General features: G+C 38.0%; 2 long non-coding RNA genes across 3 annotated transcripts in view; one reads left to right on the top strand and one right to left on the bottom strand.

The window, feature by feature from the left end:
- The window catches only part of LOC107986620 (uncharacterized), a 175,866-nt gene extending 165,175 nt beyond the window's left edge, over positions 1–10,691 (bottom strand). Inside the window, exon 1 of one of the 2 annotated variants that reach the window (XR_001744235.2) lies at positions 10,562–10,691. This is a non-coding gene — a long non-coding RNA (uncharacterized LOC107986620). The remainder of the gene's footprint in view (positions 1–10,561) is intronic. The other variant, XR_001744236.1, reaches the window with a different exon arrangement.
- On the top strand, positions 357–11,550 carry LOC107986621 (uncharacterized). Its single transcript, XR_001744237.1, has 3 exons — positions 357–383; positions 10,650–10,790; positions 11,458–11,550. It is a non-coding gene; the product is annotated as an uncharacterized LOC107986621 (long non-coding RNA).
- Positions 11,551–25,676: the final 14,126 nt, after the last annotated feature.

The following is a 25,676-nucleotide window of genomic DNA, read 5'->3' as shown; positions in this document are numbered from 1 at the left end:
CTTTCAACTCTGTACGTGGTTTAGTTTAGTGGTCAGAAGAGGTGAGTTTATGAAAGGCAAAGAGGCTTTTTGTATGAAAACTTGCAATGTGTTTCTCTCTGTTGTTGTCTCATTTTTCCCCAGTTATAGGTGCCCGCGATGGCCGACAATGATGCAAAATAGTACTTTGAGCAAAATTTGCTCCTGATTCTGTAGAAATCTCAGATGGACAAATAATCAACTTCTCATATATTTATCTGAACATTTTACCCTGTCACCTAGAATTTCTGTGAATTCTAGAATATTTAAATAAAAGTGGTTTCTTGTCAATGAAAGAAGTTTGCATTTAAAGCTCAAAATATTGCTGTCTAGATGTGTCCTCTACTTCTCCCTGATAATAACAGGTAAGACTCAAATAAATTTTCCTGTAAGTTTACTTTATTATGTTTAATATACTAAAATTTATAATGCAGATGTTTAGTTTTTGGAAGGAGAAAAATGACGATTCTTGGCAATTGTTATTTGTCTTTTTCTACAAATACAAATGACTGTGGAATCTTCTCTGGGTTCTCTGGTCTTAAAGACATAACATGTTAAGTTTATAATTTCATGATTTCTCCATAGAATGTATGCACTATTCTAGAACCTAGATCTGAATGGATGCCTCTGTGAATTAAAATGCCAAACTCTTCATCAGTTTTCACAATCAAGAGAAAACAAATCAATTATTTTGACATTTTAGCAATATATTAAAAGTGAAAGATTGATCTCATAAACTCTGTGGCCTGGTCCTGGCTGATGCAATTATGCCAGGAGTCCCCTGTAAAAGTAATTAGGGAAGCTGAAAAAGTGAGCACTCCCCAGATGTAATCTTACCAATGGCCTTAATATACGACATCAATGAGTTAAATGAGGAAACTACCAGAGGCCAAACATCTAGGTTTTAAGTTTCAGACAAGGTTTTTGCTTGTGTTCACCTCAGGAAATGAATACTGCATTCATAAATTGTTGTTCTTATCCAGGAGATGAACCATAGCAGTTTCATTTAGCCCTAGAGTATTAAATTTCTTTAACACTTTGTCACATTAGAATATGTTTTCCATCTGAATCTGATGATGCAATATTTGAAGGGAAAAATAGTTAGCCAAGTGACATTCCATAACAAGCCATAAAAGTTTATGATGCACATAGTAGGATAATTGGCACAACAGGAACTGAATACTTCCTTATGGATAATATTTGATAAGATATGGCATGTATAACAATCATAACATTTCAATCAACCAATGATGGCTACTTTAGAATGCATTTATTTTATTGTTTCCATAATGAATTTTACAGTGCCAATTGGTTCTACTCTACTAGAAAGATGAAAAAAAGAACTACATGTATTTTCCATTGGAATATTTTGCTTGTGCATTTTATTCTTTCCTCCCACCCCCTACTAGATTGTTTCACCACAAGCTGTTGACAAATGATTTGCTGAAACCCAAAGCTAGTGGACAGAAATGTATTTTTCTGGTTGAGTCAGCATTCTTTTTGGTAAAGTCCTTTTACAATATTAATTAAATCATTCATAGACAGTGTCTTCCTCCCAGTTTCCAGATTTTCTAAACCTTACACCTGTTTTTCTTTGGGTTTTGTGCTATATCAGCTTATAAATCACCCTATATTTCCCAGTATAGTTTCTTATGAAATAACACTTTTTCCCCCCAACCAAACTTTCACCCAACTGTTTTCAATAGTGGCAGTCAGGCCTGAAGTTGTCAATCAAAGAACAGCTTATCAGTCTGAGCTTTTTCTTTTTAAGCTTTTACTCAGTGACTTTTGAGACCTGTCAACACCCAGTTGATTTTAACCCTAACAATAAAGTCACACTCTATCTCCCACATAGAAGCTTTAAGATTAAATTCTGATGTCATATACGTCATATTTACATAGTTAAAACTCATAACAAGCAACCCACAGGCAATAGGATGTAATAACCATGCAACAGAGCCATTTCCTGTCCCCCTTTTTCTCTCACACTATGTTTTGTGCAGCTTATTGGATGTGAATGTTATGAAAATGAAAATCGTCTGGGAGAAACCTGCTGGCCAGGTCTGAGGTTTAGAAGAATTCGACTGGAGGAGTATATAGAGTTGTAAATGCTTGGCCACCTCCTACATTATAAAACAGGAACACTTTCAGCATTCCTTTCATTTCCAGAAAAAGGAAAAATGAGAGGCCACAATTACATGCACTAACAGCTGATTTTTAATATCTTTAATTCTTCTAGTATTAAAGGAAAATGACTAACTTGGAGTCAGAAAACTTGAAACCCCAAAAGTTTTACAGGTTTTGTTTTTCAACACAAAGCACCTATTTCAAATGCGTTGCAAGGTGAACTTTAACCACGGATGCGATTTGAGAGTCAAATCTACTGTGGCGCTTTAAACAGCCAATTTAGGGAGTTAAGTATTTTCTTCGCAATCACTTTAGAGCTGGAAATAATGTCATGTTAAAGGAAGAAAATGAAAACCACTGTCTGTGATTTAATTTGAAGTCTCCATCACATCAAAAGATTAGGCTTGAAGTAAAAATATTGACAAGAAAATAAGGCTCTAATGGAAGGATATTATACACCATGATGTGGACACTATTTTGTAGTTTCATTATTTAAAGGGAAGCAGAATGGAATCATTCTCTTCCATTTTTGGAAAACCTTCTGTGTACTTAAAGGCTAAAATACCATTGCAAAATAAGTTTTTATTTCTTCTGGAACTGATCTTTCTTACCGTTCAGGCTAAAAGATGTACACTTTATTTAACAACCAGATTTTATCCCAGTGTTAGAAAACATTTGCATTGCCTTTCTACAATATCTGAAAGGTACAGTCATATTCCTCATGTAAAATGACATTAAGAAAAAATCTATAGAATTAATATTTTTCATAGTTTTAGTTGTCTGAAAACAAAATAAAACAAATAGAAAGCCTATACTAGTTCTCTTCATGGAGTCTCAAATTCTGTAGCTTCCACACAAAAATAATGTTATTTCAATATTTTTTTATTATCTAAACTACGTAGGAAGCCAATTTTTGGACTCACTGATTTGTTCAAGCAAACAAAATCTGGCTCTCAGAAGTACATAAGCTTTCTTAAAATCCAAGCAATGAAAATCGTTTTATTTGTTAGCAAAGGATGCGATTATACATCCTCTTTCTCTCTCTCTCTCTCACTCTCACTCTGTCTCTCTCTCTCCGTGTGTGTGTGCGTGTGTGTGCATGTGTGTGTGCATGTGTGTGTGTGCATGTGTGCATGTGTGTTTGTGTGTGTGTGTGTTTGTGTGTGTGTGTGTTACATCACATACGTATGGAATTCAGAAAAGGACTTCTCCATCTGGACCTCCATGGTTTCTCCTCACTAGTCCACCACTAGGTCTTAGGGTCTACTAACAGAATTCATTCCTCCTTATTAGGTATTTTATCTCTAATAGTTCACAGTTCAAAAGAAAACAATCCTAACAACAGTTTGTGAACTATCCCCACTTTCCCACTATCATCCTTACAAGCTAACGCCCTTAACTTATATTGGCTATGAACAATATATTGAGAAATAATTTAAGAAATAATTATTTGCACATCCATGAGTTTTGGGGGTCACTGTTTTAGGTGCTGGGGAGAACATCAGGAGCACTAAATCTCCTACCTACTAGGAAATGGAAGAGACCAGTAGATCTCATTAAAGACAAGAAGAGAGAGAAAGGAGGGTTATAATAAAAGGAACTAAAGAGGAGTTGCCAAGATATAGAGAAGGGAATCAAAACAGAAAACCAGAAGATGGCAAAAGCGAAGTTCTTTGCAGTTTTTAGTAGCATAACCAATGACCCAAAACTTAGCAGCAATTTGTCATATCAACATTTCTCTAGCTTTCCTTTTTCAGAGGAAAGAGCTCTGTGGAATAAGCAAAATCAGTCATGCCAGTGAATAACTTTTAACTGCAAAAATATCTGACATTATAACCCAACCATTTGTCTATATGAGGAAAGAACTATTATTAAATATTCTATAGAGTTGCAAACTTTTTCATAACATTTTATGAAACTTTAGTTATTAATAAAATTGCTATGAAAACATAAAACCGAGACATACTTCCATATTAAAAAAAAGTTACCATCTTGTCTCTGCCTAATTATTTTACTTCTTTGCTAAAGTAAACTAAGGTTGAAGAAAGTTAAAATAGTTTCTCAGAACTTTAAATCCTGTTGAGTCTAAGCCACTTAGAAAAGGGTAATTCGTCAAAAATTATTGATCTCCATCAGCTGGTATCAAGTGTAAGACTAGATTCAACTCCTTGATTCTTTGATAGCAATTACAGATGAGATGCTTTGGAGTTTGTGTTTAATTCGAGCAATGTACGGTATATTGGACAGATCTCAATATGTTCATGAAATCACAAATGGAGTTGGAAATCTTAGGAAATAAGCTAAAGAGATCATCCTCTATGAGGTATAACTATAAAGTAATAGAATTAATTTTTAATCAACATTGAAGAATTTATACATGCAAATTGAATGTTGTCCCTTTAAAAACAATGATGTTGAAGACACTACACTCATCTAATTGTTGCTGTCAGAAACTGAAGCAAGGTCTTTCTTTGGAGATGGAAACACCTTTTCTTGGCCGGACGCAATGACTCACAGCTAGCTACTTGGGAGGTTGAGTTGGGAGGATCCCTTGAGCCCTGGAATTCAGGCAGTGAGCTATCATTATGCCACTGCATTCCAGCCTGGGTGACAGAACTGTCTTTATAAGTGGGAGCCAAACATTGGGCACACATGGACATAAACATAGGAACAATAGACACTGCAGACTAATCAAACGGGGAAGGAGGGAGGGGAGCATGGTTTGAAAAACTACCTATTGGGTACTATGTTCACTACATAGGTGATGGGATCCATACCCTAAACCATGGTATTGTACAGTATTCCCATGTTAACAAACCTGCACATGTACCCCTTATATCTAAAATAAAAATAGAAATTTTTAAATAAATAAATGTAAAAGAAAACCTCTTCTTTTGAGGATAAATCTGAAATTTTTAAATGAATGAAGTTGTACAGCCCCAATTCTGGTGACCAGAGTAAGTAAATTGAAGGGTAGAATGTTGGGCAAAATTCAATGGAACCATAAACAAATGAACTTTGTTAATAAAATTTGCATTGTTATACATAATAAAAATAGCTAACACAAAATCCTACTAAGTGCCACTGTTCTGAGCATTTGACAACCACAATTTCATGCAATGCTAATACAACACGATGATGCAGGTTGCATCATCACTATTTTGAAGTTAAAAAAACTGAGGCAAAGAGGAGGGAAAATACAGCTAGTGAGTGGCAAAACCAAGGATTTAAGCCTGGGAAGTCAGTCTCCAAAGTCCTTGCTTTTAACCGTAATCCTATATTAACTCTAAGACTGGTTTTAAAGAGAAGTCCTAGTCAAGTTTTGATGTAGTGCCATAGACTGTTAGATTTAACATTTTATTCACTATCAACTCTCAATCTTCACAATGTAATAATTTGCAATTATTCTAAGGCTTGGATTTTAATCTTTTTGGCTAGCTTGCAGAAGCCTATCGCATAACCAGTGACTGAGCCTTACTCACCACCTAGCCAGCCCATTGCAGTACAGCTTTGAGGCAATTGTGGAGAAGTTTATACCACAATGCCCTCTGAATTTGAGGATTCGAACATTCTCAACATACAGTGTCTGCAAATGTCAGAGTCTCTTGTAGGTACACAAAATTCCATCATGGCAACTTTCCATGGCAGCATTTATTGAGATATTACAAATTTAGGATGATTTGAAATACTCAAAAGAATGGGGGATCAGGGCAAGGGCAAGAGTACTTGTTATGTCCCTCAGGATTTGTGCCAGGCAAGTGCAGAACAGCACGATATGCCAGCAAAGGAACAGACTTCCTAATCAATCCAACCTAAAATCTTCCACTTATTAGACATGTGACTTTGGGTAACTTAGTTGATTTATCTGAGCCTTAGTTTCTTCATCTGTAAGACAAGGGTATCATCGTCACAGTGTGTGTGAGAATTCGGTAAAATATAATCTAATTTTGCGTGGCAAAATCTGTAGCAATACACCTTTCATAAATATGAGTTCTTTTCCTTTTTCAGCAATATCCTTGGATTCCCCAACTGAAAAATTATCCTCCAAATCATTGACTCAGCTTTCTAAGAGCAGTCAGGAGTGTAATTTTAATAGGTAATTTAGAGGCACAGAGGAAGGTTATTTTTACTGGTCTTGTTCATGATTCACCCCTGCTATTTTATTTGCCTGAAGTTTAGTGCCTGCAGCGGGCACCAATTCGGCTCCAACTGATAGAGACAGCACGTGGGAGGAGGTGTGGGGTCCGACAAAGGGCTTGCAGCTGTTGAGAGAGCAACTGGATGAGGCAGCCAAGACCAGAAGCATCTGGTAAAACCGACATTTTTTCAACAAACTGACATTTCTGTCATAAATGATAATTTCCAGGTTTCTTTTAACTACATTTTGGGGGAAAAACTATTTTTAGTGGGAAAATGAGAAGATAGTGGTAGCTCCCAATCTGATTATCCCTATCCATAGAGGAAGGGAGGGAGATCCTTTCTCTGGACACAATAAAGGCTAAGGAAGCTGAGCCTTTTCCAGCAGCACAGAGAAGGCATGAGAGGAGACATGAGAATTTTTTCTCTTCACGGGTCCAAGGAAGCTTGAAAAGTTCACCAGGGTGAATCTCAGGAAAAACAACAGAAATTTTATTGGTGAGAAGTGTGAATCAAGATTATTAATCAAATATCATTCATTGATCATCAGGTGTCATCAAACAGATGTCCTAAGATATCTCTGAGCTGGCAGTTTCAAACTTTGCCCAGTTGTCCTTTCCCTAAATGCAGACCAAGTATCATCTTGGCCTTGAGAGGTGATTCCAGATGGAGAGACATGGAAGGAAGTGGGATCTAGAACAACTCGGAGTCATTACCCTTCTAAATATATTTTAGGTGGCTGAGATGTTCACAGGAACAATGTGGTGATTTTGTTCACCCCAAATAATACTAAAATTTGACATCCAGGACAATCTGAAACCAAAACTTCCTGGCCCAGAATTTCTCTGACCTAATGATGATGCTCCCCTATCCAGACTGACCTACCACCACTCACAATCATTCTTTTAGTAAACATTTACTAAACAAACAGCTACTGTCTGCCAGGCATTGTTATTGCTGTTAGAAAGTTAAGAAGTAATTACAAAAACAAACAAATAACTCCGCCCAGCTGGAGCTTACATTCTGGTGATAGAATAAACAAGGTAAATTAATAAAATATATAGTATAGTATATGGTAATAAGTGCAGGAAAGGGGAATAGAGAGTGAAAGCAGAAGCTTCAACTTAAACCAGGAAGGTGAGAGAGAGAGCCTCACTGAGAAGAGTGGATTTGTTTCAGGCCAGGAAGGGAGTGAGGAAACCTGCAGGTAGCTGAGAGCAGCATATTCCAGGTAGAAGCATGTGCAGGTGCAGGGGCTGGGCCAAGGTGTCCAGGGAGGGTTTCAGGAACAGAAGTGAGGCCAAGGTGAAGCAAGCAACAGGGAAACTAATAGAAGAGGTCAGGGGTAATGAAAGTGGGGACACAGGTTATGAGGGCCTTTTGAGTTTTACTCTGAGTGAGATGGAAACAGAACATCTACCATATTCCAGACATCAAATGAAGTGCTTTTTTACAAATATTCTAATACTACCAAGCAGATAAAATTAGCTCCTTTATTAGACAAGGCAACTGCAACCAGAGCTCAGAATTAAAAACTTGCCAAAGACCATAGAGCTATGAAATGAAACATCCAAGGATGCACACCAATCCATGCTGGCCAGAGCTTTAACCCAAACATCCTGTGAGGCAGGTGAGAATCAGAAGCACTAGATAAAGTGTAACCTGCCCAGCTGTAGGTCTATTAGGCTGTTTTTGCACTGCTACAAAGAAATACCTGAGACTGGGTAATTTACAAAGAAAAGAGGTCTAATTGGCTCATGGCTCTGTAGGCTTTACAGGAAGCATGGTGTTGGCATTTGCTTGGCTTCTAGGGAGGCCTCAGGAAGCTTACAATCATAACAGAAGGTGAAGGGGGAGCAGGCACGTCAAATGGAGAAAGCAGGAGCAAGCAAGAAAGAGGGGGGCGGTGGTAAGGGAAGGTGTCACACACTTTTAGATGACTAGATCTTGTGTAAACTCAGATGGAGAGCTCACTTATCGCCAAGGTGATGACCCAAGCCATTCATGAGGGATCACTCCAATAATGTAAACACTTCCCACCAGGCCCCACTTTCAACACTGGGAATTATAATTCAACATGAGATTTGGGCAGAGACAAATAGTCAAACTATATCAGTGGCGCTGCTTAAAAGTAGTCTTTGTGTAAAACAGTTGCCATAAAGTGTTGCCAGAATTATGTCTCTCTTGGATCCCAAATCCCACCACTGTGGAGCACTCTAAATTCAAGTTTTGGAAACAGGTACGTATGTGAATCACTTGAAGAACTTTTTAAAATATAAATTTCAGAGCCCTACCCCAAGCAACTGAATCAGGAAATTATGGCTCCCAAATTTTATGATGATAAAACTGTTTTTTTACTGGACCCTCTCATAGAGATAAGTGTTAGGAAGAAGGCATTTTGGCAATGAAACCACCGCAGGTGTAAATCTCCAAAGAGTGGCCAGACTTTGATGCCAACGAGGGAAAGAACAAGATAAAAGCTTCCAGTGTGGTTTGCTTGGTTCAGTTAATTGATTTGTTTTATTATGTTTATTTACTTTTACATTTTTGGATCATAGCTATTGAGTGCTCAATAAATGTGCTTGGCTGACAGTTTTTGAAATAACCTTTTTTTGTGGTCCACTTTACTGCTTTTAATAAATGCAACACTTTACCTGTTAAAAATAAAAATTCAAAGCCAAGGAAAACAATTGATTTAAGCCACTAGAAAGTTTCTCCTACCCTCTACTGTCCCTGTATTTTCACCATGTTCATAAACAAGAAGTAAATTCTGCTTTCTCAAGAAGTAACGGAATAATCTCCGAAGGAACACCATGGATAGCAATTATTTTAAAAATCCTCACCAATGTGCATCTATATTTTTATCTTTTCTCATGATCATGAGATGGTTTTGCTTTCTGAATTACTGAAATGCTGTTTACTTTGGCTGGAATTATTTGCTTATGCTACCACATAAGCCACAGGTAAATTGTCATTATTGTTCAAATAGGGGAAAGGTAGAAACCAGAGCTTTGACCACTTGCTCTTTCCAGTCTCACTATGGAAGAACCCTCAGAACATGCATGCCCTGAAGCTGTCATAACCCTCACCCTGCCTCACCACTCATTCTGCTGCTCAATGGCCTAAGAATAAATGAACAGTCTCTAATATAAACCAAGTCCCACCACAAACTATGGCAGAATGAAAGAGCAGTTCTTTTGTTTTTGTTGTTTTTTTTTTCTTTGTTATACAGATTTGTAACTGTAAGATCATATTCTACTGCTTGAAACAGGGCAGAGCAAACATTACATAATCCCCGCTGATTGAAGAGCAACGACTATTTAGTTTTCAAAATCACTTCCAGATAACAACTCCCACTTAAATCATCTTAAGTATTTTAATATGTCTTAATCAGAAATGGCTGAGATAAAAGTGACACTTTTCTATTGGGGGGAGTTTTAGTTTGTAGAAATTATCTCAGTTAAATAGTCATAAAAGCTACAGTCTGAAAATAAACAGCCTACCAACAGTCTTAAGTATACATGGTGCAGATTTGTGACACAATACACAGTCCTCTTCCCCTTGCAGTTAGGCAGAGTATGTACTTAGGTCTGGTTGATGGGTTAGGAGTAAAAAAATTTACTTTTCCAGGAAAGTTCTTTAGCATTCTCTCCCCCTATGGCAGCAATCATAGCGCAGATTTCATGTTGAAGCCATAGAGCCCTGAGATGGAAATAGCTAGATTCCTGGGTGACCTCATGGAGGTCAGTTGTCCTGGAAGGCAATCAGACTTACAGTAGACTTTGCACAGATGAAAAATAAAATCTTGCTGTATCAAGCCACTGAAGTTTAGGCACTGTTTGTTATTGCACCACACCATAACCTAGCCTAGCCTGACAAATACAGTATGTACTAGAGAAAAATGCTTAATAATGCCAACATGCCAACATCACAATAACCTCCTTATACAGGATTCACCAACAGACATTCTGTCCATTTGGGACCTATCCGCTCTGTTTTTTGCATGACTTTTTCTGTTTTGTATCCATGTATTATGGCCAAGCATTTAAAATATGGTTTTTTATTCTCTTTGTCATATCTAAACAAAGTTCAGGTTCATTTTACAGATATTAGAGTTACAAAAATGTTCAATCCTTTTGGTCTCTTACCCCTTGATCCCTATATCACTACTAATCTTTTTTTTTTCTCTGTGCTCATATGACCATCTCTTTCCCCAGCATATTCAACAGTTAAGGATACAGGTTTTAGAATCAAGCAGACCCAGGTTTAAGGCACTCACTATTAGCTGTTTCTATGCTTCAGTTTCCTCAGTGCAGAACAACAATGACTGGAGAACCAACCTCATGACTTGCTGTTTTGTTTTGAAGATTAACCAGACTATTACACGTAAGGCATTTAGCCTAACACAGCATCTGAATAAATGTTTCTTCAAGTGAACTAAAGAGGAAGGGAACTAATATTTGCTGAGCAGAGCTTGACCCACTTAAAACTCACAGCAACCCTGCAAGGTAGGTTTCATCCCCATTTTATGAAATAACTCAGAGGGGTTAACAAATTTACTCAAGCTCACAAAAGCAGTTGGATGTAGAGCTGTGGGTGGAGCCATATCTGTTTGTTGCCAAGTCCGCTGCTCCTTTCTCTACACCAGGCTGTCTTCTCAGTGGCACATCAATTAAAAGGGAAATTTTCTGGGCACATGTGTTTAAAAAGTGCTAAAAAGCAAAAACTAAAAATTGTTATATCACTGACAGTGACTACACAGTAGTTTAAAACATGTATTTTGTATTAATATTTAAAATATATATTTTAATTATATTCAAAAATAAGTCAAGTTTACATAATCAAGTCGGGTTTATTGACATTTTTTTCTTTCTTTAATTTCTTAGCTCCCCAATCAAGTCTCCAATGACTTTTTGTTCATAAAATGGTTGGTTAGGTTAAAGGTGTGCAGAGAAATTTATTAAGTCAGTGGAACTGATATTTTTCTCTTTATGAATATCATTTTTAATATAATTAAATACAATTTAAAATTTTTCCAATGTCTTTTGCTGAAAACATGAAGAGAAATAAATATCTACATATCTATTAGTATTCTTTATTTATTTCTCTCTCTCTCCCTCCCTCCCTTCCTCTCTCCCTTGCTCCCTCTCTCCCTTCCTCCCTTCCTTTCCACAGGTGTTATATTTTGCTTTTATAGATTTCTTTCGAGACCCTTCCCATCACCTAAAGAATTTCTTTAATAATAAATTATAAACTTCAAAGTCCTCACTCAGAAGATCACCAGAAACCAAAGTATGAGAAAAATTAACCACGTATGGCAAGTACACTACTTATCTTCAAATTTTGAATGTGTTTGATTTTAAATGACCTCAACCTCTACTTGTGCACTTATTTTTCAGTGTAGTTGGTCATAGTGAATTATTTCTGAAATGGCAACACAAACAGCACCTCCATATATGTATGAAAACTGCAAATAAAGAGCTGCTAATTGTGATTTGAGGTAATTTTTTTAAATGGCCAGTCCTGGTGATTTTTTATGACTCCCAAATGGATTTCAGTCTGACAGGGCTTGGAAATCAAGGTGATAAACAATACATCTAATTGCTGTGTTAATATTTTACACACTCTTAAATTTGGGGTTTCATATAATTAAAATTATATCTTTAAATAAATAAATACTTGACCCCAAGGCAACTGCCAATGCAATGCCATCCCCTATGGGAAGAAAGGCATGGTACCCAGGCAGCTAGAGGAGCACCTTTCTCCACTTCCTCCAGCAGCCTGCTCCATTCCTTGAACCAGAGAAATAAAGAATGTACCTTATGCAACAAAGATTTACTTTGTTTCTTTCCATAAGTGGTACATATATTTTAGCTTTCAAAATAATCTCTCTTCTGGAACAAAAACAATCTTCCTTTTAAATTTATGACCTCTTTTAAAGGGCTTGATTGTCAAACTAAAAGTTAGTTAATGTCTTGGCTTCAGTAGAACTTGATTAAAGATGAAAGATATAAGAGTTACAAAATCAGAAGAAATACAAAAATGATATTGGATTTTTAACCTAAATCGCAGCAAGTATCTGGAAAGTAGGGTTTTCCAGAAAGAATCGAATGGCAGTTATTCTTTATGCAATATATTTAAAGTGTTTTATAATCACCGTGCACCAGCAGAAAAATTATTTTGAAGTTAAAAAAGGGCAAGAGGATATAGTATATGTACATTGTTGGTAAAAAACCTCATGGGATCATGTTTTGTAAAAAATATTCATTAAATAGACCACTTTAAACTGACCCTTAAAAACATTATAAATGTCTATACTTTACAAGTAAATACCATATTATCTTAAAAGGTAAAAGCTAAAATTTAATTGAGAACTAATTGAAGAGCTGAGACATTTGGGATGGGAGGAGATTTAATGAAGCTCTTTAAAGTTTAGAAAAATGCATCAAATTAAAAACAACCCTCAATTTAGACTGCAACACAAAACACCCACAGACCTCAGGAAATCACCAGCCTCATTCACCTTGACCTTTGGTCTCTCACACATTCTAACATTCAGCTTTCTTCCTTCTGTCCATCTGCTTGAACCATTAGTAAAGTTCTTTTGCAACAGCTCACACAAGTAAGCCAGCTGTCATCAGAGCATATTTAAACTCTGCCTCTTAGTTTCCACTGAATCATGTGTTTGCCCATAGGTCTCATTAAATACAGGGAAGGGCAGCAGTGCAGTTTCAAAATGCTCTGGGGGAACAAACCATCTATATAAAAGGGTGGTCCAAGGGCCTTGGACTAATTTGTTTACTTACTTTTTTTATTTTCAATCTACAGAGGAGTTTTCTATAGAGAAACAAGACAAATGGAAAATGTATGCAAGCTAAATCTATACCAAAAAAGATAATAGGTACCTTAACAAAAGAAGAAAGGAAATATTTTCTTTAACAATCAGTTCCTTTAAAAAATAGTTTAAAGACAAAAACAAACACTTTTGCTCATGCTGTCATTGCTTGATTTGATTTAGGAAACAAATAAATTGTTCATGATAATTTCCTGATCTTACCACCAAGAGCCCAGTAGAAGCAGAAATTCAAGAAAATGTTAGATGCAAAGTCAGGATTGTCAAACCTACTGTTCAGAGGTTAATTGAACTGTCTTTAGTGAAGCCAAAAAAAGAAAATGAAAATGCATCCACTTCCATACTGTGGAAAGAATTAAAACAATAGACTTCCAAGTGAAAAGGATATGAAATGTAAAGGTCCATTCTGAGAAGTAAGGCCAGGAAGCAATTAACACCAGGTAAACCAGGCAAATTAGAGTGGATATCAGGCATTTAGGGTTCCATTTTTCATAACCTCAATGTAGATATTTTGGCTGGTCTCCTAAATACCTTTCATTTTCACTGCCATGTGTCTGCTGAGACCAAGGTCAGACTGTAAAATCAATCACGATAAATATCAACCAGGGCACACTCTGCTAAAGCCAGCCCATCAACAGAATGATCAGAAACACAAATCAACTAGCAAGGCTAAGGAGTTTCACTTCTGTATCACTGGAACAGCCCTTATATTTGCATCTCAACCAAAGTAGTCTATTTCAAAGGCAAAATTAACAGGAGCACTTCCCAAATCTTTCTGAAGCATGCACAGCTCTGATGGAGCAAGTCAGATCTCTCAGGCTCTCTCTAGATTTTGGTCTCTCCTTCCCACTCTTTGTCAAGCACACCTGTGTACGTACTGCACCTTCCATCCAATCACCAGGTTGATACATGGGGATACAGGTTGATACATGGTGATACTGGTTGATACAAAATAACATGTCATTAGTATGTTTATAGGGAAAGTTATTTTGCATAGAAATCTCTGTGCTATGGGCACACTTTAATTTGAATTCAGTTTATGGTTCTTCATTTTTGTATGTTATTTTTCTTGATTACTTAGGGGACAAGTCCTCAATGAGAATTTTTAATAATTTTCAAGTGATGGGCAAAGGAGGGCTACCTATGACCGTTTCCTGACATTTATGCTTCTGCCCTTAAAACCTGCACCTTCTCTGGGAGTATGAGATAGCAGTAGAGAAAGGGCATTTACCCCCTTCTTCCTGGCCTTTCCCTACTTCTGGGAGTCTGAATATACAAACCAGCAATGCCCAGTCTATATGTAAAAATAGAACTCTGATTCACAACTTGCAGCAACCTGTCCAGGAAACCAACCCCTTTCTCTATAATGACAAACCAAGAAACCAGTCAGACTTGAAGGAGTCAGACTGCTATCTCTAGGAACACTTCAGGAAGCCAAATAATAACCTCTATAATAATTGGCCCAAAATGGCCATGATTTGATTAATAATTGACATATTCCCTCATTTTGTGCCTGATTCCAATTTTAAAACTTTAATGAAAGCTAAATATGCACCCCCACCCATCACAGAGGATGCCTTATTTCTAGCTGTCCATGCCTACAGCTTCCCCATACCAACAGCCTCCAAACAAGGCATACCTAAATATTCCCCTTTTTCCACTATAAGGCTTTCCCACTCCTCTGCATGCCTTTGAATCTCTGCAAAAGTTGAAGTGGTGGTGGCTGACTCCCTTGCAATGGCAAACTCTTCTTATTTGGTTGGTGTTTGTTTATTTCCTCATTTCCAAGGAGAAGGGGCAGCTAATCTGAGTATCTGATTGATGTCTTGGCTAAAACAGTTTTCTAGTCTTTTTGGTAGTAACTGGAGTCACACAAAAACTGATAAGATCTGCACTCATTTCCTTTTTTCCTGTGATTTCTGTGTATATCCTCCATCTGTCAAAATCCTAGAAAGGATGAGAAGGTTAGTTGCACCTTCTATCTCAACCCACTGACTTGCCAGGGAGTTCATTGGGTATAGGTGCAGGCACTAGCATTTTGGGGCCAGAATATCCAATAGAGAGATCAAAGCTCTTTCATTTAATATAAACACCTGTAGCACCACAGACTCAGTACCAAGCTTTATACAGTGGCTTCAACTGCTGGCTTTGACTCCTGTGGGCTGAAGGGGTTCGTATTGTCATCACAACTGATATTACAAGCTGCCACTAGATTAGGAAAATTTGAATGCTTGAAGGGGCTAGGGGATGCTTAATTCCACAAGAAGTTCAGGCCACCCATGTTTGAGATTTGGGAACTTTGAGTGGTCACTATCAAGTATTTCATATAAAGGTGGAATTTGGTGACTCTTATCCCACAACCTGTTATCCATAGGCTCCTGGGGTACTCAATGCCCCACTCCATTGTGTATTCTCGAACTGGGGTAAGGTTATTCATGACATAAAGACTAGTTTATATTTTAAAAGAAGCATTTGAGACAACCTTTTTAACTTCCTATTTCTCACCACAGATCTCATCAGACCAAATCTGGAGAAGCATATGAGAAAACCAGTGGCTGGAACCTAAAGAAAAGGAAGGTATCCTGATACATAAATACCTTTTGCCCTATATGTGGTAGTGAAGAAACAGAACTGTCTTAAGAAATGGTTTAAATTTCTTAAGCCTCTGCAGGGCCCACCTGAATGGAGGGAAATAGAACCCTGCAAAGCAAAGAAAGCAAGATGTTTCTGCTGACAATGAAAGAGAACAAGTTTCCCAACAACTTAAAAGGGGATGAAAAGCAAAATTTTGGAAAAAAACAACATGGCAAAGGGCATATTACCCCGCAATGGATACCTAAGGACACAGTGTTCAGAATTACTAATAGTGCTATCTCTAGGAACAATTCAGGAAGCCAAATTCAGGAAGTATGAGAATCTGATAGGCAAAAATTGTGAGAAGCCAATTCAGGAAGTGTGAGAATCTGATATGCAAAAACTGAGGCACCCTATGGAACATTTCTTAGAGACTAGGATTCTTGGGGCAAAGGTATTCCAGAGCATAAGGCTGTGGAAGCAGCCAACTAAAGCACAGAGAAAAGAAGTGTAAGACCCTGCAGAGGATGAAGAACACAGAGGAAATATCAGTGTATGTGGAGAAGCCAGACCTTTCTTTGACAATGCCCAGAGACCTGGTACCTGGTATACCATGGTCACAGGAATTGGTACTTGTGGTCACTAAACAGAAACTCTACTTGAGTCAACATTGATTTTTTTGGAACACTAAAGGAAAATAAAAATTGAGCGGCTTTAAATATGTAAATTAGTACTCAGAGGAAATAGAGTGCCTTGGGACTTGAATGTGGAGGATATCACCATTTTGTAGGAAGAGAGGTTGTCTCAAAGTCCTCTTTTTGATCAAAGATGCCAAAAGCACAAGGAAGCTTGTCTTCATGCATATGAAATGAATAGGGTCACACTTAACTTATTGGTGGGCACTTCTCCCAAATGAAGTTGAATTTTCAGGTCATCAACTCCCAGAAGACTAAAACCAACTGACTTATTGATCCCAATACGGCTGAAAGATTTTTTTTCTATTACTTTTTTCTTTTTGCTCTTGATTTTGTTTGGAAAATGCTCTTGCTGCAAGAATCACATTGGCTTTAAATTGTGTAGCTATGGGTTTGCTGCTATATGTGTTCCATTACTACTTTGGAACTTTGAAAAATCAAAAGTGGACAATGACAGAGTAGAATTAGTTCACCTCTAGAGATGCTGAAGGAGTGGCATCTATTATTCTACTGCCACCTATCTAATACATACTGTAAATGCCAGAGGAACCAGGCATCTGAATGGGACTCCTCTTCATTCATTCACACATTCAGCAAGCATTTATTGAACACATTCAAGGTGCCAGGAATTCTTCTAAATTCTGGAGAATAATGATGAGCAGAAACACAGTGCTTGGGGAGACTGACAATAGCTGAATAATCACCCAATGAATGTATGCTTTTCAATAGAAACAGGAGTTCTAAAGGGAAGAAACATTTGTAATGTGAGAGCTTTTACCAAAAGAACCTGCATCGGGGAAGGCTCTCCTGTGAAAATGCTATGAACTGCAATCTACAGGAAGAGTAGAATTTTAGTAGGGTTAAAGAGAGGAAGAGCTTTTGAGACAAAAACTGCCACAGAAAGGGCCTGATATGCTAAGAATATGAATTAAACCAGTGCAGGTGGAATGCAAAACATAAGGTTGAGATGGTAAGAGATGAAGCTGGAGAGAGAGGCATGGATAAAGTCATGTAGGACCTCAGAGGCCATATTATAGACTTTAGTTTTTATCTTAAGAGCATTACAAAGCCACTGGAAAATTTTAAACAATGAGGTGATGGGAACAGATTTGCTTCTGAAAAGTTTGCTCCAAAAACACAACAGGCTGAAGGTGCAAGAAGTTAAGAAGCTGAAGCATAAATTTAAAGTAACTATTGGAATAGTACAGATGAGAGATGAAAGAATCTTGAATTAGGGCATTAAATGAAGATAAATTGATGAATTTTAGACATTTTATTATAAAGAAGTAATAGTGGACAGGACTTGATTATACACTAGATATTAGACTATGGAAAGTATCCAAGATTGCTACTTGGTTTCTGACTTAAGTAATTAAATGGATGAGCGCCGGTGTAATTCACTGAGACAGGGAACACTGTAGGAAGCTTGGAGGGAGGATCATAAATTCAATCTGAGTTTGAGGAACTTTTGAGATGTCTAAGTAGATATGCCAAGCAATCACAATATATGAGCCAGCAGCTCAGATGAGAGGTTTCTGCTTGAGAAATAAATTTGCAACATTTGGTTGTATTATTCATAAGTCAGAAATCAAGCCATGGCTATGAATGATACTGAATAAGGAAAAATTATATAGTGAAAGAAGGGAGCATAGAACAGAGGCTCATGGAACTTGAACATTTAATGTCTAGATGGGTAAGGATGAATGTTCTTTCAAGGTGGCTGAGAAGGAGGGGCCAGAGAGGGAAGAGAAAAACCAAAGGAATATGGGCCCCTAACCTCTTAATGCTTGGTTTTGATGGTATGAAGGTGTTTCAAGTAAAGAGGATGTTTCTGATAAAAAGTTGACTCCAATTTCAAATGTTTCTGATGGATTGTGTGAGATGAGGATTGAAAACTGCCCTTTGGATTTAGTGATATGGAAGTCGATGGTGATTAGATAGAGAGGTTTTAATTTAAGAAGCCAGAAAGGAGTCAGTTGAGAGGTGAGAGGTGACATAATTAGACAATGAATTTAGACTACTTTTTCAAGAAATTTTAATACCAAGGGAAAGGGACAGATAATTTGGGAGCTGGAGAGGGTTGTGTGTGTGTATGCATGCATGTGTGCTAATAGGAAGCTTCTCATAATTTCACCTGTCCCCATGAAAAGAAACTGTTGACTATACATAAGAGAGCTATCTAAGGTTAACTAAGAATTCTTTCTCTGATCCATTTCAGAGGCTTTGAGACAACAGCTGAATTGCTCATCTCATTGTCTTAGAACATAGAAAGAGCAGAGCTTGTAGAAGTGAACAGTCTCATGTATATGGGCCAGGAGTTACCTCATAAACTGCTAACCTTCTTTTTAACAGGACATAGTTTATTTTGAGCTTGACTAGGGGAAAAAGGGATTTAGGCAGTGTATCAAACTGTTCTTGCATTGCTATAAAGAAATACCTGAAAGTGGGCAATTTATAAAAAGAGAGGTTTAGTTGGCTTACAGTACTGAAGGCTGTACAAGAAGCATAGCAGCATCTGCTTCTGGGGAGGCCTCAGGGGGCTTTTACTCATGGCAGAAGGCAAAGCAGGAGCAGACATTTCACATGGCAAAAGCAGGGGCAAGAAAAAGAGAGACAGTTGTGGGGAGGGGAGGTGCCACACACTTTTAAAAGACCGGATCTCACAAGAACTCACTATGGCAAAAAAGCAAAAAGAGGATGGTGCTAAACCATTTGATATGGTTTGGTTCTGTGTCCCCACCCAAATCTTGGGTCAAATTTTAATTCCTATTGCTGGGGGAGGGACCGAGTAGGAGGTGACTGGATCACACGGGCAGATTTTCCACTTGCTGTTCTCATGATAGTGAGTGAGTTCTCACGATATCAGGCTGTTTAAAAGTGTGTAGCACTTCCCCTTTCACTCTCTCTCTCCTGCCACCATGAGAAAATGAGCTTGCTTCCCTTTTGCCTTCCCCCATGATTGTAAGTTTCCTGAGACATCCCAGCCATGCTTCCTATACAGCCTGTGGAGTCAATTAAACCTCTTTTTTTTCATAAATCACCCAGTCTCAGGGAGTTCATTATAGCAGTGTGGGAACAGACTAATACACCATCATTCATGAGAGATCCACCCCCATGATCCAATCACCTTCCACCAGGCCCTGTCTCTAATATTGGAAATTACAATTCAGCGTGAGATTTGGGCAAGAACAAATATCCAAACTATATTAGGCAGAGTCAACAAACTGGGAAAATATTTATGATCGCCTTGTATTTCTGCCTCTGCTGATAGAGGAGAGGATTTCTATCTTCTCTTTCAAGGCAGGGAAGAGTTTGGGATGGGTTATTTTTATTCTCTGCACACTCACCTATACTCACTGCTGCCCAGGAAGAATGCCTTATCTTAGAGTTCCATGTCCACTGGGCCCCCTTTCAGTAGGTAGACTCCCTGCATATAACAGAAAAATGCACATTGTTCTCTCTCTTTCTCTTTATCAGCTTCCCTACCTACAGCTGGGGAGTAAGTCAGGAGGAGCTTGAACCAAAGATTCTTTAGTTTTTGGTTCAGCAGCAAGGTTATAGAATCCTCATTAGGCTTCCTGGGGTCTATCATAATTTTGTGTTGGAGTATTAAGCAATTGCTCATATTTATATAATTAATCATTTTCTCCCCCATTTGATTAATTATCTTAGTGAGTTCCACTAGTCAGTGCTCCAAAGTGGTGAACCTTTACAGTCTATACTAAGAAATTCAATGTTAATTTCTCAGAATAAAGATAAAAATACTGGAACTGGAAGGGATATTAGAAATCATCTAGTCCAAATTCCTCATTTCATGAGGAAATTGAGCCCGGGGAGATTACATGCTTTCCCAAGGCACAAAGTTAGTGAATGGCAAATATGAAATTAGTAGTCATTATATGAGGGATTTTACTTTTGGACATATCTGAGTTTGGAACATGTCTTCATGCCTTAGTAACTGCAGCATCTTGGCAAGTTGCTTAGCCTCTCTGACACTACTTTTCCTTTTTCTATAAAACAGGAATTAAAAACTTACCTGCTATGGTCTGCATGTTTGTGTCCCCCAGAATTTCACATGTTGAAATCCCAACCCTCAAGGTGGTGGTATTAGGAGGTGGGGCCTTTGGGAGGTGATTAGATCATAAGCATGAAACCTGCATGAGTGGGATTAGTGCCCTTATAAAAGAAACCAGATAGAGCTTCTTCACCCTAGATAGAGCTTCTTACTGTGACCACACAGTGAGAAGGCATCCTCTGTGAACTTGAAAGTAGGCCCTCATCCCACAATGAATCTGTTGGCATCTTGATCTTGAACTTTCCAGCTTTTAGGACAATGAAAAATTCCTGTTGTTTATAAGCTATCCAGTTTATGGTATTCTTTTATAGAACCCAAACAGACTAAAATACTACCTCACAATGTCACCACCATCTCCCAATTCTTACTGCTAATCCCATTCTACTGTACCATGTTGATTCACATGAGATTCACATGTCACTATAGTTTCAGAGGAAGGGGTCAGATGACACCGTCACCAAAGAGGGCAAAATTATTTTCTTTTCAAATTAATTTCTTTGAATTTTGACTTTTTGTTCCCACCTCTAAGAAATAAAAGGGAACTTAGATATAATATTGCACTATTTTTCTTTGGAATAGATAAGGAGAATTAATTTGAGTGACTTGTTCAAAGCCATTAAGGGTGATTAACTACAAAGCCAAAACTAAACTTCAAGTTCCCAAGCTAATACTTTTGCATTTTTTAACAATACATATTTTGTTTTAGAATAGTTTTAAATGTATAAAAATATTGTAATGACTGTGCAGAGAATTTCCATGTGTCACTTTCCCAGTTTCTCCTATTATTTCCATCTTACACTAGCATAGTACATTTGTCATAATTAATGAGCCAATATTACTACATTATTATTAATTAAAGTGCATACTTTATTCATATTTCCTTACTCTTTATCTAATATCCTTTTTCTGTCCCAGGATCCCATCTAAGATACCATGTTACATAGTCATCGTGTCTCCTTAGGCTCCTTTTCGCTGTGACAGTTTCTTAGACTTTCCTTGTTTTTGATAACCTTGATGGTTTTCAGGAGTCTGGTCAGGCATTTTGAGAAAATTCCTCAACTTAGATTTATTTGATATTTTTCTTACAATTTGACTAGGACTAGGTGTTTGAGAGAAAGGCCACAGCATTATTTTCATCACAGCATATCCAGGACACATACACACACACACACTATTGATATTAGCATTGATCATTTGGCTGGGGTGGTGTTTATTTTGTTTTCCACTGACAAGTTGCTCTTCCCCCTCACCTTTAATATTGTACTCTTTAGAAAGAAGTCACTGTGTGATTTAGAGGAAAATGACAGATTTTCCTCTAAAAGGAGCCAGGACTAACCTGCAGCTCCCACTCAGATGGACAGAGCAGTGTATGGAGATTCACATCATGGACTTTTGTTCCAAGAACTACCACAGGAACATACCAGGAAAGCAGAGAATCCATAGACCCTTTGAAGGAAGCAGATTGCTGCTCCAGTTTCCTGGAGACAGCCGAAAAACTGTGAGTGTCCAAAGTGTGAAAAGACGATCGTTGGCCCCTGAACACACATCCTCCCTGGGGAATCTGAGGGTCCAGATCAAGGGAAAAGGATTTGACCTTACCTGGAGCTGAGATTAACATAGCGAGCCAAGCAAAATACAGGAGTAGAGGAAGCAGCAGGAAGAACCCTGTGGGCTCTCTCCGTCCCTGGGGAGGCCATTTCTGACTTTGTCTCACAGGGGTCCTTGGGGAGAGCTGCCAGTGGAATTAGGAAAGACTACAAGGAAAAGGAAACTTCCAGCTGAACTTTGTAACAATTTCGACAAAACGTGGTTTCTTGGACAGAGCCCAAGGAAGGAGGCAAACCTGGAGTGCAGACACGGTACAGAAGCTGTGGCAGGCAAGGAGGTGAGAAACCTGAAAGCCCTGCTTGCTTTCTCAGCAGGGAGGCTTGTATTGTAGCTTGGGGCAAGTTCTCAGCCCTGCCCATCGCTGCCTGGAAATAAACTTGGTACTGCTGGGTGTGCACAGTGGGAGTGAGACTGGCCTTTTGGGGTGCATGGGAGTTGGGTGAGGCCTGTAACTGCCGGCTCTCCCCAGCTTCCCTGGTGACCTGCATGATGAAGCAGAGGCAGCCATAATTTCCTTGGGAACCTAGGTCCATTGGCCTGAGAATCCCACCCCCATCATCCACAGCAGCCACAGCAAGCCCTACCCAAAGACAGTGTCAGATCAGACACACCTAGCCCCACCCGATGGGTTTCCTTTACCTACCCTCGTAGCTGAAGACAAAGGACAAAGTCTGTTGGGAGCGCTATGGCCCTGCCCACTGTCTGAGAAACTTATCCAGGCAACTCTACGGCAAGCTTGTATCCTCCCTACACTACCGCAGTTTATGCTCTCTTGAAAGCGCCACCTCCTGACTGGAGGCCAACCAACACAAAATTGGTGTAATAAAAATACAACCAAAGGCCCTCACGTCACTCCCCTGGTATCTCCACTGCAGCAGGTACTGATATCCACGGCTGGGAGACCTTAAGATGGATCACATCACAGGACTCTTTGCAGACACTCTCCAATACCAGCATGGAGCCCAGTAGCTCTGCTGGGCAGCAAGATCCAACAGAGAAATAATAATCACTGCAGTCTGGCTCTCAGGAAGCCACATCCTTGAGCACCCACAACCAGGGAGCACCCCATGGGGCAGAAAACTCTGAACAGCAGTCCTTGAGCCCCAGATCTTCCCTCTGACATAGTCTATCCAAATGAGAAGGAACTAGAAAAACAATTCCGGTAATATGACAAAACAAGGATCTTTAACACCCCCCAAAATCACACTAGCTCACCAGCAAGAGATACAAACCAAGAAGAAATCTCTGAATTTCCAGAAAAAGAATTCAGAAGGTTAATTATTAGGCTACTCAAGGAGGTACCAGAGAAGGGTGAATATCAACTTAAACGAATCAAATAAATGTTACAAGATATTGATGGAAAAATCTCCTGAGAAATAGATACCATAAATAAAAAACAATCACAATTTCTGGAAATGAAGGACACACTTAGAGAAATGCACAATGCACTGGAAAGTCTCAGCAATAGAAATGAATAAGCAGAAAATAGGACTTCAGAATGTGAAGACAAGGCTTTTGCATTAACCCAATCCAAAAAAGACAAAAAGAAAAGAATTTTTAAAAATGAACAAAGCTGCCAAGAAGTTTGGGATTATGTTAAATGACCAAACCTAAGAATAATTGATATCCCAAGGAAGAATAAAAATCTAAAAGTTTGGAAAGAATATTTGAGGGAAAAATCAAGGAAAACTTCCTCAGCCTTGTTAGAGATCTAGATATCCAAATACAAGGAGCTCAAAGAACACCTGGGAAATTCACCACAAAAGGATCATCACGTAGGCATATAGTCATCAGATCATCTAAAGTAAAGACTAAGGAAAGAATCTTAAGAGCTGTAAGGCAAAAGCATCAGGTAACCTATAAAGGAAAGCTTATCAAATTAACCACAGATTTCTCAACAGAAACCCTACAAGCTAGAAGGTATTGGGGTCCTATCTTTAGCCTCCTTAAACAAAATGATTATCAGCCAAGAATTTTGTATCCAGAAAAACTAAGCATCATAAATGAAGAAAAGATACAGTCTTTTTCAGATGAACAGATGCTAAGAGAATTTGCCACTACTAAACAAGCACTACAAGAACTAGAGCTCTAAATCTTGAAATAAATCCTCAAAATACACCAAAACAGAACCTCCTTAAGGCATAAATCTCACAGGACTGATAAAATAATAACACAATGAAAAAAAAGCACAAGGTATTCAGGCAACAAACAGTATGATGAATAGAACAGTACCTCACATCTCAGTACTAACCTTGAATGTAAATGGCCAAAATGCTCCACTTAAAAGATACAGAATGGCAGAATGGGTAAGAATTCACCAACCAAGTATCTCTTCTTCAAGAGACTCGCCTAATACATAACGACTCACATAAACTTAAGGTAAAGATGTAGAAAAAGAAACTTCATACAAACAGACACCAAACACAAGCAGGAGTAGCTGTTCTTACATCAGACAAAACAAAGTTAAAAGCAAGAGCAGTTAAAAAAGACAAGGAGGAACATTCTATAATAATAGAAGACCTTGTCCAACAGGAAAATATCACAATTCTAAATACAGATGCACCTAACACCAATGCTCTCAAATGTATAAAACAGTTACTACTAGATCTAAGAGATGAGATAGACAGCAACACAATAATAGTGGGGGACTTCAATATTCCACTGAAAACACTAGACAGGCCATCAAGACAGAAAGTTTACAAAGAAACAATGGACTTAAACTTTCCCCTAGAAGAAATAGATGTAACAAATAATTACAGAACATTCTACCTAACAACTGCAGAATATACATTCTACTTAGCACATGGAGCATTCTCCAAGATAGACCATATCATAGGCTACAAAACAAGTCTGAATAAATTTAAGAAAATTGAAATTATATCAAGTACTCTCTCAGGCCACAGTGGAATAAAATTGGAAATCAACTCCAAAAGGAACCCTCAAAACCTTACAAATACATGGTAATTCAATAACCTGCTTCTGAATGATCACTGGGTTAACAATGAAATCAAAGGGGAAATTTAAAAATTCTTTGAACTGAACAATAATAATGACATAACATATCAAAACCTCTGGGACACAGCAAAAGTGGTGTAAGAGGAAAGTTTGTAGCATTAAATGCCTACATCAAAAAGTCTAAAAGAGCACAAACAGACAATCTAAGGTCACACCTCAAGGAACTAGACAGACAAGAACAAAGCAAACCCAAACCCAAGGGAAGAAAAGAAACAACCAAGATCACAGCAGCACTAAATTAAATTGAAACAAACAAAAACAATACAAAAGATAAATGAGACAAAAGGCTGGTTCTTTGAAAAGATAAATAAAATAGATAGACCATTAGTGAGATTAACCAAAAAAAGAAGAGATAAGATCAATAAGCTCAATTAGAAATGAAACAGAAGATATTACAAATGATACCACAGAAACACAAAAGATCATTCAAGGCTACTATGAAAACCTTTACACACATAAAGTAGAAAACCTAAAGGAGATGGATAAATTCCTGAAAATATACAACCCTCCTAGATTAGACCAGGAATAAATAGAAACTCTGAACAGACCAATAACAAGCAGCAAGACTGAAACT

This window comes from Homo sapiens, chromosome 6 (assembly GCF_000001405.40).
Source record: "Homo sapiens chromosome 6, GRCh38.p14 Primary Assembly".
NCBI lineage: Eukaryota > Metazoa > Chordata > Mammalia > Primates > Hominidae > Homo > Homo sapiens.
This window is presented reverse-complemented; position numbering and strand designations above follow the sequence as displayed.